This window comes from Homo sapiens, chromosome 14 (assembly GCF_000001405.40).
Source record: "Homo sapiens chromosome 14, GRCh38.p14 Primary Assembly".
In the NCBI taxonomy this organism is placed as follows: domain Eukaryota; kingdom Metazoa; phylum Chordata; class Mammalia; order Primates; family Hominidae; genus Homo; species Homo sapiens.
The window spans coordinates 38,283,690-38,297,518 of record NC_000014.9 but is presented as its reverse complement, the minus strand read 5'-3'; the positions used below and the strand labels follow the sequence as shown (position 1 = coordinate 38,297,518).

Here is a 13,829-nt window from a genome sequence, read left to right as displayed (position 1 = left end):
ATTATACCCAGACCAAGGAGAAATCATAAACATCTTCCCCCACTCGAGGGGCTTCTTCCTTATTAACATACTAATTGCTGTTGACCTATTTTATCTCTTTTATCAATGAAAAGTACTGAATACATGCTACAACCTCTACCTTCTGACAAGTTATCTAAGTTTATCATGTTTCAGATAGAAACAAGGAGTTATTTGTTATATATATGCTATATATAACCATGCTATATATGCTATGCTATATATGCTATAACTGCTATGGCCATGCTATATATGCTATAACTGCTATGGCTATATATATATATATATATATATATATATATATATATATAGCTATGTATAGCATATATATATAGCATATATGTATACATACACATATACATACATATATATATAGCCATAGCAGTTATATATATGCTAATATAGCCTGATTTTATACTTCTTGCCTTTGTTTCAGAATATAGTCATGCACCCCTTAAGGATGTTTCAGTCAATGACGGACCACATATATGGCAGTAGTCCCATAAGATTATAATACAGTATTTTTACTGTACCTTTTCTAGGTTTAGAAATGTTGACATACACAAATACTTCTCATTGTGTTACAGTTGCCTACAGTGTTCATTACAGTAGCATGCTGTACAGGTTGGTAGCCTAGGAACAATAGGCTATAGCACATAGCCTAGGTGTGAAACAAGCTATACCATCTAGGTTTGTGTAAGTTTGCACAGTCACAATGTTTGCACAGCCATGAAATCACCTGACAGATTCCTCAGACCATATTCTCATGGTTAAGCAAAGATGATTGTATATTACATTTAGCGTATATCTAACTGGTCTTATCCATAAAGCATGATTTTACACACTGACTCTTGGGATCTGGGGAATCTTGTCTGCACCACCATCTTCTCTATCTTGTTTAATGAAATCACTGTGTACTTCACTCAGAATCTCAAAGTCACATTTTTGACTTCTTTTGCTCCCTTGGCTACCACATCAAATTAAACACCTTGCAGTAGTCTCCTGTCTTCCTTGCTTCAGCCTTTCCAATCCAATCTCTATGGTACTGAGTATGTCAAATGCAGTCTGTCATTCTTCCTATTCATAGATTTCAATGGCCTCCCTACATTTTTTAACTCCTTACTTTAAAACACAAGGTATTCTCGATCTGAGCTCTCTAGACTTCATCAGCCTCATCTCCACCACCTACCCAGGTATGCATCCCAAGCTCCAGCCACTCTAAATCACTAGCACTTCCCCAAACATACCACACTGTTTCACCCAGCCATGCCTTTATACCTGTTCACCCTGCCTCATGTTTTCTTTTCAATGAAAAACAGCAAATAGTTTTTCTTTTATCTTTTATCCACATTTTTCCTTTGGTATTCATATGTGTAAGATGTTTTGTACATTGTGTAATTTCTTTTTCTTTGTATTTTCCTGTATTTCAGATACACAGAGTTAATTGTACTCTACAAACTATAGCAGAGTAGAGTGACATACCTGTGCAGGTCCCTTCTTTTATTTATTTCTGCTATTTTATTTGCTTATTTTTTATCCAGTAGCACATCATTTTATTTCTCTAATTATGTAGCAATTTTACCTTCCTCTTTGCTCTTTAATTAAAAATGTTTTGTTAGTTATTCATTATTTATTTATTTGAGACGGAGTCTCACTCTGTTTCCCAGGCTGGAGTGCAGTGGGCGATCTCGGCTCACTGCAACCTCTGCCGCCCGGGTTCAAGCAATTCTCCTGCCTCAGCCTCCAGAATAGCTGGGATTACAGGCACCTGCCACCACGCCCAGCTAATTTTTGTAGTTTTTCAGTAGAGACGAGGTTTCACCATCTTGGCCAGGCTGGTCTTTAACTCCTGACCTCGTAATCCACCCGCTTAGGCCTCCCAAAGTGCTGGGATTACAGGTGTGAGTCACCACGCCCGGCCCAATGTTTATTCTTATAAATATATTTTATTACTTTTCAGGATTCTCCAACAATCCTTATGAAATGTTAATTAAAATTACATTGAAATTACAGGCTTATCTTTAAAATAAGTTATCTTATTCATAAGCATAATTTACCTCTCCACTTATTCACATTTTGTTTTGTGTATTCTTTAATAAAGTTTTAAAATGTTCTCCATAAAGGTCTTATGTATTCTTCATGTTACTCTCTAAAATCTTTATAGTGTTTGTTGCTGCTGTGAATATTATTTTTATTTTCTATTTTAATTTGCAGTTGGTTATTATTGATAGAAATATGGTAGATTTTAATAAGAAAATATTTTGTTAGTAAACTTGCTAAACTCTTATTAACTCTATTATTGATTTTGTTGGTTTTCTATGTGGATAATTAAATATTTGCAAATGATGATGGTTTTGTCATTTTCTTTCAAATTTTTATGTCTTCCTTCTTTGTTCTCCTGCTGAATTAACCTGGATGTCCTGACTATACCATGTTGAAGCTTTGTGAAGACGGCAGACTCCCTTGTCTTGTTCTCTAACTTAGAAGAAATGTGTCTATTTTTTATTGTTAGTTGTAAAATTTGTTGTAGGCTTGGTGTAGAGGTTTTATTGAGTTAAGGAAGTTTAACTCAATTCCTTGATTTTGAATTTTTGTCTCAGTGAAATATTAAACTACATCAAAAGCCTTTTCTGCATTAATTGATATATATTTGATAAGTGACATTGATAAATTTTCTTAATTTTGAATCACCCTTGCATTCCTGAAATAATCTCTAATAATTACAGTGTGTATTTTAAAAATTCTGTTACATTCAGTTAACTAATTATTTAGAATTTTTCATTGTGTTAATGAATTAGACATCTGGATTTATTTTTCTTTTTGTACTATACTCATCTAGTTTGAAAGTCAAAGTTATACTGGCCTCATAAAATGCTCAAATAGCTTTTTTAAAAAAATTTGAAGCAACTGTAAAATACAGGGATTATCTGTTCCTGGAGTGTTTGATGGAAATCGCCTGTAAAAGTTTCTTGGTTATAAAAGAGGTGAAAGATCTCTGCAAGGAAAACTGCAAAACACTTTTGAAAGAAATCATAGATGACACAAACAAATGGAAACACATTCTATGCTCTTGAGTAGGAAGAATCAGTATTGTAAAAATGACCATACTGCCCAAAGCAATTTACAGATTCAATGAAATTCCCATCAAAATACCATCATCATCCTTCACAGAACTAGAAAAAAAATCCTAAAATTCATATGAAACCAAAACACAGCCCACATAACCAGAGCAATACTAAGCAAAAAGAACAAAGCTGGGGGCATCCCATTACCTGACTTCAAATTGTACTACAAGGCTATAGTTACCAAAAGAGCATGGTACTTGTATAAAAAGAAAAAGGCATGTAGACCAATGGAACAGAATAGAGAACCCAGAAATAAAGCCAAATACTTACAGCCAACTGATCTTCAACAAAGCCTACAAAAACATAAATTGGAGAAAATTCAATAAATTGTGCTGGGAAAACTGGGAGACCACATGTAGGAGAATAAAATTGTATCCCCATCTCTCCCTTTATACAAAAATCAACTCAAGATGGATCAAAGACTTAAATCTAAGACATGAAATCATAAAAATTGGAGAAGATAACATCAGAAAAACTCTCCTGGACATTGGCTTAGGTAAAGAATTTATGACTAAGACACCAAGACAAACACAACAAAAACAAAAATAAATAGATGGGACCTAATTAAACTAAAAAGCTTCTACACAACAAAAGAAATAATCAGCAAAGTAAACAGACAAGCCACAGAGTTGAAGAAAATATTCACAAACTATACATCCAACAAAGGACTAGTGTCCAGAATCTACAAGGAACTCAAACAAATATCAAGAAAAAAACAAATAATCCCATCAAAAAGTAGGCAAAGGACATGAATAGACATTTCTCAAAAGAAGATATACAAACAGCCAACAAACCTATGAAAAAATGCTCAACATCACTAATCATCAAGAAAATGCAAATTAAAACCACAATGAGATACCACCTTATTCTTCCAAGAGTGGCCATAATTAAAAAGTCAAAAAACAATAGATGTCAGCATGGATGTGGTGAAAAAGGAACACTTTTACACTGCTGGTGGGAATGTAAATTAGAACAACCACAATGGAAAATAGTATGGAGATTCCTTAAAGAACTAACGGTAGAACTACCATTCAATCCAGCAATCCCATTACTAAGTATCTTCCCAAAGGAAAATAAGTTATTATATGAAAAAGATACATGCACGTGCATTTATAACAGCACAATTCACAATTGCAAAGATATGGAACCAACCTATGTGCCCATCAATCAATGAGTGGATAAAGAATATGTGATATGTATACACCATGGAATACTACTCAGCCATAAAAAGGAATGATATAATGTCTTTTGCAGCAACTTGGATGGAGGTGGAGGCCATTATTCTAAATGAAGTAACTCAGAATGAAAAACCAAATATCATATGTTCTCACTTATAAGCAAGAGCTAAGCTATGTAGATGCAAAGGCATAAGAATGATATAATGGACTTTTGGGACTCAATGATGGAGACGGGGAGAGAGGTGAGGGATAATAGATTACATATTGGGTACAGTATACACTGTTCAGGTGACAGGTGCACCAAAATCTCAGATATCACCACTGAAGAACTTACCCATGTAACCAAAAACCACCTGTACTCCAAAAACTGTTGAAATAGAAATAATTTTTTTAACTGGCTTGGTTAAGCATATCTTTTCATTTATTATATTTTAGGTTTTGGCAAAATCTTTAAATATTATTTAAATGTTTTTAATTAGTACTAATCTATTCAGCTTTCATATTTTATTCTCATGCTTATTTGACATATTATACTATTGCAGACATTTATTCACTTATGATTTTTGTGAATATTCATATTTACTGAGGAATAGTACTGGATCCTTATCTTCTCTTATTCCATTTAATTCCACCTTTAAAACACCGTTATATTTATATCCCATGTTACTTAAAATTGCAACAGAAACAACCCTTATCATTAAGTACTTTTTAAGCAGGTTTCCTCAGTTTCTTATATTCCAACATTTGGATGTGCCATGATCTAGTTAATGATTCAGGTGACAGATTGTATTTTCCAAAGATAGCCACAATGCATTTCCCATCTCACCTGCTCTTTTAAGAGGTGTCTGCATTCTTTTCCTTTGAAAATGGCAAGTTTTGACTCATCAGTATCCAACAGAATGAAGCAGAGTGATGTTTTATGACTTCCTAGGCTAGGTAAGAATATGCAGCACAGCTTCAGCCTTGTTTGGGGAAGACAGTGACAGAGCTACTAGAAGGAAAAATAATATAAGCAGTTACTCCAGTTGCTACTGCTGTGCAACAAATTACTTCAATTTTAGTGGCTTAAACAGTGATGATTTTTTTTTTTTTTTTCAGAAATCCTTGTCTCTCTTCTACAATGTCTGAGGCCTCAGCTAGGAAGATTCAGTGATTAGGGTGACTCAGTATGGCTAGAATCATCTGAATGTTTCTTCAAATAATTTCCTTTAATAAAAGATACCTCCAAATTTGGCAGCTACATGCATTATATCTGGGGCTCCACCCCATAGTCAGTCTCTATGGCAATTTAACATTTCTCTTCACCACCACTTAAAAATAGACAAGAAAAATCCCATTTATCAAAATACTTCAGTGGCCATTTGCAGAAGGTATCAGAGCAGATTCCAAGATAATGGACTCAAAGTTACTAACATCAGTGTGATCTGCAAGGGCACAGAGAGTCCTGATTTCTCCCCCTGAATCAGTTATCTGACTCATGATTTCCAAGAGACCTTCCACCTAACATTTGACATAAAAGCTATCTTTAATGTGCCCACCCCCACTTTTTTGTTTCTCATCGGCAGAAAAATATCAAAGTGCAGATTTGCACTTCAAAAATGGTGAAGGGAAGTACAGCTTCATTTGGGAGTTTTCTGATGTTAGATTCCTATACCAAAAAGTATAAAATCTTTTGTAGAATGCATTTAGAAAGGTTCTCATCTGAGGCAAGAAAAAAGGTCTTGAAATAAAAAATTAGAGGATATTAACTCTTTGGAAGCACTTTAAAAATTGCCCTTCTAGGAAGTTGCTTCTATTTTAATCCCTACCTGTAAGTTCAGTTTTCCCAAGGACAAACATCTAGAGCACAGCATAATTATTCTAAGATGAGACATACTTCCACTTTTTAAAAAAGAACAATAGCATTAAAAATCCTGCAAAGAAAAATCTCCAATTCAGAAACTGGAAGCTACTTTCTTTCATCCCATTGTTAACACGTTGTTTTGATATAAAGAATCTAAAGAAACAATCTAGACACTGACTAACTTAATGCCAATGACAATTACAATCTTGTGTCATAAATACATATTTACTGCAATAATTTTAAATGTATTATTTAAAAGTGATATGATAGCCTAGGAGAATATACCAGAATAAGTATTCAAATAATAATTGTCTAATAAGAGTTGCAGTTATGCAATTCACACCAGCACATGCTTAGATTGATGACTTAGCACACTCGTTCCCATGAAGTGAAAAGGTTTACTTCCCAATTAAATTCTTAATGCTTTTCAAAGTTTTCTTGTCCTAGTATTTGTATTTTCCTTAGTATCGTATCAGAATCTTTGCCATCATCATTAGCCAATGTGTTTATTCAGTCATTGTGTGAATAGCTTTGATCTGAGTGTACCAAGATAAGCTTCCTGAAGTCCAGTAAACACTCAGAGTTGTTTTGGAACATGAGCCAACTGCTTTCCTCTCTCACGAACTCTCTGCTTTAATGACTCATGACGCTGAAATAAATTGGAATTTAAACAGTTAGGAAAGATTTATGGACTTAGAATTATCCGGTTTGGGGTCTTAGACAAACCTAAAATTATTAAATATTATGCATATATTCTAATTTTTGCCCTGATCTCCCTTCAAATGAGAGGAAATGGCTATGAAGATATGAATTTTTTCCCTATCTAACATATCGGCTGTAATTGGATTAATAATAACAGGGTTACATTTGTTAAAATGGTAGGTTGAACATATGCATTAGCTTCCATTCCTCATTTAAACCCCAGTAAGACAACAATAAAAGGATTTTTTTAGATAGCATAGCAAGGACAAAGATAATAGGAGAGAACACAATCATGATAAATTTTTGGAAACTGGAAAGCAGATGGACTAGAAAGCTAAATACTAAATTAGCAGTGAGCATCTGAAAAGCAACTTAATTTTATACCAAAGAACTCAAAAAGGATCCACATTAATGATACCAGTAACCCCTGCAGATGGGAGCGGGAGAGATACAGGCTAAAAATTAAATTACAGCCGAAAGTCTTTTTAAAAAAGAGTTTGGTTTTCAGATTCTCTCTACTTTCTTGTGCAGCTAGACAACAGTTTCTTCCTTGCCCTGGGAGTTTTAACATCTCCAGAATATAAAATACACTCTCTCTGTACTGAAAGACTATACAGTAACATAGTGGGTGAGCAGCCAGGCTTTTGTCTCCCAGGTAGGAGATTAGAAGCACATTCACTGAGGACTCTAACTAGTCTAACTAGTCAAGAGAAAAGAGCAAAAATTACTGACAGTGGAGTTTCTATCATACAGGCCACTCTACAGAAAAGCCCTTAGACAATAAGCCACATGCTTGCACACACAGAGCTTTCAATAAACTGTTTAGTTCATTGCTTTTAATTTTCTAAAGTTTGCTGACAAACTTCCTATAGCATTCAAAGAATAGAGGCATTAGAAATTAAAAATAAGGTAAGAATTTTTAAAAGACTCAATAAATAGTTGGAAGATAAAGTTGGACACAAGATTCTAAAAGTATCAAGGAAGAAAAAGTAGGTTTTGTAAGAAGAATTAAGAATGGCTTGGATATCACGAGGACAACAAATGAAGGTTAGAATCAATTGAATAATGCCTCAAAATACTAAGGACATTTGTGGGGTTTTTTTCCTGAAATTTCATACCCAAACAAATATCAACTAAATATGAGAGTAAAATAAAGTCATTTTAAGACATGCAAGGTCTTTCTAGAGGATGTGCTCCATGAAAATGAGGGAGTAAACAAAGAGGGAAAGAGAGAGAGTGTGTGTATGTGTGTGTGTCCAGGAAGCAAGAGAACACAAATATGAATGAAGGTTCCAAGACTACAGAGCTCTAGTAGGCTCTGAGATTAATCCATCTATATTGGAGCAGATTATGAGGCTTTAAGAGGCCTCTCTGAGAAGGAAAGAACAGAACACCAGTATACCTAATGAGCTAAGGGGAGGTTTAACATGTGGAAAACTGGGTGCAAGGTACATATGACTTCTCTGTACCATCCTTGCAAGTTTTCTGAAAATCTGAAATGATTCTAAAATCAAAAGTAGAACTCTACTGGGACACAAGAGTCAGGGAGGTGGTGCATGTATGTAGTAGGTGGTAACTGAAAAGGAGTTAGTCTTCATTTTTCTAAGTCTAAAATTGGAAAATCAAGAGGTTAAAATGTAAACATGTTACTTAAAGATGTAGAAGTCAATATGGAAATACAAAGATGTAACTGGAGAGCAAGTTGGGGAGTACCGGTTTAGTAACAAGCCTAGTTACAGTTTTTGACTTTAAGTCTGTGCCTGTACAACCTGATGAAATAGAAAACAAATTTAAAGGGAAAAGATGTGGTTCTCATATATCATCCAGATTTTCAGTTATTTGAAATTTTAATACCAAATAACATTTCCCATTGCCCTACTTACCCACCCCATGTTACCTTATCAAACCAGATCAGTGATGCTTTCAGAAATTATTTGGTTTGATCAATTCAGTGACTCTAGGAAAGAGTATGCTATTAGTAATAGTTTATGTGATTTACATATTTATACTTTGAATATACATGACCCTACCAAAATTATATCTAAAAATATTTATTATTCTTTATTATTAGGTTAAAAATTGTTTTCTTTTCACATCAAATATTTACTTCCTTTTTTCACAAGGGCATGTTACACTGCCTCCCATTTTGCAAAAGCAAGACAAAGTGCAAATTAAAGGAGTTTTAATGTATATTTAACCAGATATTCCAGGATACAGGATGTAACTTGTGTTTATACTTTTTTAAATACTTTCGAATATAATTATTAGAAAAATACTTAAAAATGGGTAATGTTTACCATAAGAGCCTCCATTGTGTGGTTATTGACTAATTTATTTTTTAATTTGACAAATGATAATTGTACATATTCATGGGTACATAGTGACATTTTAATGCGTATAATGTATAGTGCTCAGATCCAGGTTATTAGCACATCCATAATCTCAAACACTTATCATTTCTTTGTGTTGGGAACATTCAATATCCTCCATCTGCTATTTGAAACTATATATTATTGCTAATTAAAATCATCCTACAGTGGTAGAGAACACTATACTTTATTCCTCCTATCTAGCTGTAATTTTGCATTCTTTAACAAATCTCTCCCTAGCCCTCCCTTCCCCCTACCCTGCCCAGCCTCTAGTACCCTCTGTTCTGCTTTTTACTTCTATGACATCAACTTTTTTAGCTTCCACATATGAGTGATAACATGTGGTGTTTAACTTTGTGTTCCTGGCTTATTTCATTTAACACAATGTCCTTCAGTTCTATCCATGTGGGCACAAATGACAGGATTTCATTCTTTTTAATGGTTGAATAGTATTTCATTGTGCACGTATACCAAATTTTCTTTGACTATAATTAAATTTTCGCATACTGGTGAAAGTGGGGGTCTATTTTTCCCATTTCTTCCTAGTTAATAGCAGAACATATCGTGAGAAAGATCTTACTCATCTTCAAATTTTCTTTTTCTTTCTTTTTTTTTTTTTTTTGAGACGGAGTCTTGCTCTGTCACCCAGGCTGGAGTGCAGTGGCGCGATCTCGGCTTACTGCAAGCTCCGCCTCCCGGGTTCCAGTGATTCTCCTGCCTCAGCCTCCCGAGTAGACTAGCTGGGATTACAGGCACGTGCCACCATGCCTGGCTAATTTTTGTATTTTTAGTAGAGACAGGGTCTCACCCTGTTAGCCAGGCTGGTCTCAAACTCCTGTCAGGTGATCCGCCCGCCTCAGCCTCCCGAAGTGCTCGGATTATAGGTGTGAACCACTGCGCCCGGCCCAAATTTTCTTACCTATCATGCGTCTAGAAAGAATCAAGTTCTCATCTATATAAATTGCACATTTTCTCTGATTGGCATACCGTGTTGAATCTTTGTCCCTTTTCTACCAGAAAACAAGATGTTCTTGTTTAAGTGGCATTTCTCTAGTTCAATAGGTTCCTTGAGCTATTCAATGGGTCCAGTAATAATATGCTAATTTTTTACATTGATTCAAATGTGTTTCAGTAACTCTGTCCTCGTATTGTTCTTGCATTATCTCAAACATAACTTTATCCTTCAATTCATACCACACTGCATCTGCCTTGCTATCCTGCTGTTACCCCTCCTCCTCTCATAACTAAACCAGCAAGACTGAATTGTAGTGGATGGAAAGAAACATGGTAGAAGGGAATGGAAATAAATTTTAAGTCAAGGTTAAATTTTATTTTGCATTTCCAAAGGAATCAATGGATTTGTGCTCTTAAACATTTTTTAAGCACAAATGAATGGTCTATGATTTTAACCTTGTGTATAATTTTGTAACATAGATTTTTATCACAGTAACAGTTAATAAGAGGATTTCATGAATTAGTTTATGTTTTAAATTTTTTCTCCTTACTAAGAAATTTCACAATACCTGAAAAGGACTGCATCCAAACTCATTCCCAGACCTCCCACTGATAAAATTATGCCCAAATGATTGTGCCTCTCCCTACTGGCACTGACCCAAAAATAGAGTTATTGGTATTTTATTTAGTCATCTTTTTCCAGGCATACACATTAATGAAATTATGTAAGAACTGGGAAATAGGTAGGACCAGCCCACCCTGAGATCTAGCTTTGGATAATCAGACTATCAACTCTTTGGCCACTGCCTTTCCCCACATTTAGCCTAGATCTTTCCCTCTGTATTTGTATTTTACACTCTATTAACCTCTTTGCTGTGTCCTGTGAAATAAATCCTCTTCTTTAGTTATGAATGAATTTTCTATATTCTTAACATTTTTTCCCTAATATCTATTAAAATAGAAATAAAAATAATAGCTATAATGTATTAGGTTCTTACTTTTATGTGCTTTACAACAGCCCTACAAATACTATTATTATGTTATTACAATTAAGGAAGTTGAGTCTTTTTAGAGGTTAAATTGTCCAACGTCAAACTGCCAGCTGGGACTTTATCCAATAGATGTCAACACCTGTGCATTTGACCTCCGTGTTATACATCATCCCAAGTCCATACTCCTCACTTATACCACTCATTGCTTATTGCCATTGTTCTCTGACAGCCAGGATATGGTCAAAGCTTCCACAGAGATTCTATCTTCTGGGAAAGGCTTCTCCTCTACCAGCATCTTCAGGGACTCTTTTGGTTTGATTCCCTAATCTCACAGTTTCAGCATATCCTAAATTTAAACATCTTCCCTTGGTTTTCATGATCCTTAAAAAACAAAAACAAAACTTGGCTCTCCTGCTTCTCTGACCTACCTTCCCTCCCTCCCTTCCTTTCTCTCTCTTCTCTCTTTTTTTCTTTTTCTTTCTTTCTTTCTTTCTTTCTTTCTTTCTTTCTTTCTTTCTTTCTTTCTTTCTTTCTTTTTTATTTTCTTTCTCTTTTTCTTTCTTTCCTCTCTCCTCTCTTGCCCCCTTCCTTCCTTTTGGATTAACAAATAATAATTGTGTATATTTATGGGGTACAATGTGATTTTTGATCTATGTTTACATTTTGATGCATCTATGTATCAAGATAATTAACATATCCATCACTTCACCAAGTTACCCTCTTCATAAGAATGTTAAAAATCTATTATTTTAGTAATTTTGAAATATGCATCATTAACTGGTGTCACCATGCAGTACAATAGATCACTAAAACTTATTCCTTCAGTCTAACTGAAACTTTGTACTATTTGATGAAAATCTTCCCTGTCCCCATCTCTCTGCCTCCTTACTACCCTGCCCCTCATCCTCTGGTAACCAATTTATACTCTCTGTTCTATGAGATCAACTTTTTTTATATTTCACACACAAGTGAGATCATATAGTATTTGTCTTTTGGTGCCTGCCTAACTTCACTTAACATAATGCCCTCCAGTTCCATTCACATAGTCTTGAATGACAGAAGTCCCTTCTTTATGGGGGAGCTGCATAGTATTGCATTGTGTATATATACCACATTTTTGTTATGCATTCTTAGGTTGGACACTCAGCTTGTTTTCATATTTTGACTCTTGTAAAAATGCTGAAATGAACATAGGAGTGCAGATATCACTTCAACATACCAATTTCAATTCCTTTGGATATATACCCAGAAGTGGCATTGCTGATGGTAATTCTGCTTTAAGTTTTCTGAGGAACCCCTATACTGTTTTCCAAAATGATTATGCTAATTTACATCCCCACCAACAGTGTACAAGATTCTCCTATATCAACACTTCTCATTTGTCTTTTTGATAATAGCCATTCTAACAGGTGTGAGATGATAACTCATTGTGGTTTAGATTTGTAATTCCGTAATGATTAGAGATGTTGAGCAGTTTTTCATTTATCTGTTCGCCCTTCTTAACTCTTATTTTGAGAAATGTCTATTCAGATCCTTTGCCCATTTTAAAATCAGATTATTCCTTTCTTGCTATTAAGTTGTTTCAGTTCCTATTTTTTTATATCAGTCTCTTATCAGATGTACAGTTTACAGATATATTCTTCCAATCCATGGAATGTCTTTTTACTCTGTTAATTTTTATTTCTTTGCAGAAAAGTTTTATTTTGATGTAATCTCATTTGTGTATTTTTGCTTTTGTAGCCTGTGCTTTTGGAGTCCTATCCAAGAAATCATTTCCCATACCAATGTTGTCTCTCCTATTCTCATGTTTTCTTCCAGCAGCTTTACACTCTTAGGTCTTCCATGCTGTCTTTCATCCATTTTGAGTTGATTTTTGTAAATGGTGCGAGATAAGGGTCCAATTTCATTCTTCTGCATGTGAATATCCAGTTTTCCCAGCACCATTTACTAAAGAGACTGTCCTTTTCCCATTGTGTGTTCTTGACACTTTTAGTGAAAATAAATTTACCATAAAGACTTGGGTTTATTTCTAGGCTTTCTATCCTGTTCCATTGGTTTCTGTTATTGGTTGGTATCTGTTATTATGACAGCACCATGCTGTTTTGATTACAGTCACTTCATAATATATTTTGAAATAAGGAATGTGATGCTTGCAGATTTGTTCTTTTTGCTCAAGATTGCTTTGTCAGTTTGGGATTTTTTCTGGTTCTATACAAATTTTAGATTGTTTTTTACACATCTACAAAGAAAATGACATTGGAATTTTGGCTCACCTTCCTTCCCCTTTTGCTGTATGTGGACATTCCCATAAGTTCTATCCTTAGCTTCCTTCTCTTCAGTCTTTATATTGTGTGGCTTCCCAGGTAAACTTTACATAAGCACTGAAGACAGATCATGTCACATCAAACCTTCTAATATAAGTTTGCTGTATTATTTGAGAATATTCAATTTTGTGATAAAAGACTATAAAACAAACAAGATGGTGAAATGCAAAAGAAGTGTTAAGTATAGATAAAGTTGATAGCCTATGACCTTGTCTTTATTCTACAGTAACAAAATACCATAAACTGGGTATTGCCCACTGTTCTGTGGGCTAGGAGGTCCAAGAGCAAGATGCTGGCAGATTTGGTATCTGGTGAAGGCTCATT

The 13,829-nt window shown here is 34.6% G+C and overlaps 1 long non-coding RNA gene across 1 annotated transcript in view; it reads right to left on the bottom strand.

The window, feature by feature from the left end:
- Positions 1 to 13,829, bottom strand: part of LOC112268136 (uncharacterized) — a 55,886-nt gene that overhangs the window by 14,412 nt on the left and 27,645 nt on the right. The window contains exon 3 of the long non-coding RNA NR_169588.1: positions 5,148 to 5,312. This is a non-coding gene — a long non-coding RNA (uncharacterized LOC112268136). The remainder of the gene's footprint in view (positions 1 to 5,147; positions 5,313 to 13,829) is intronic.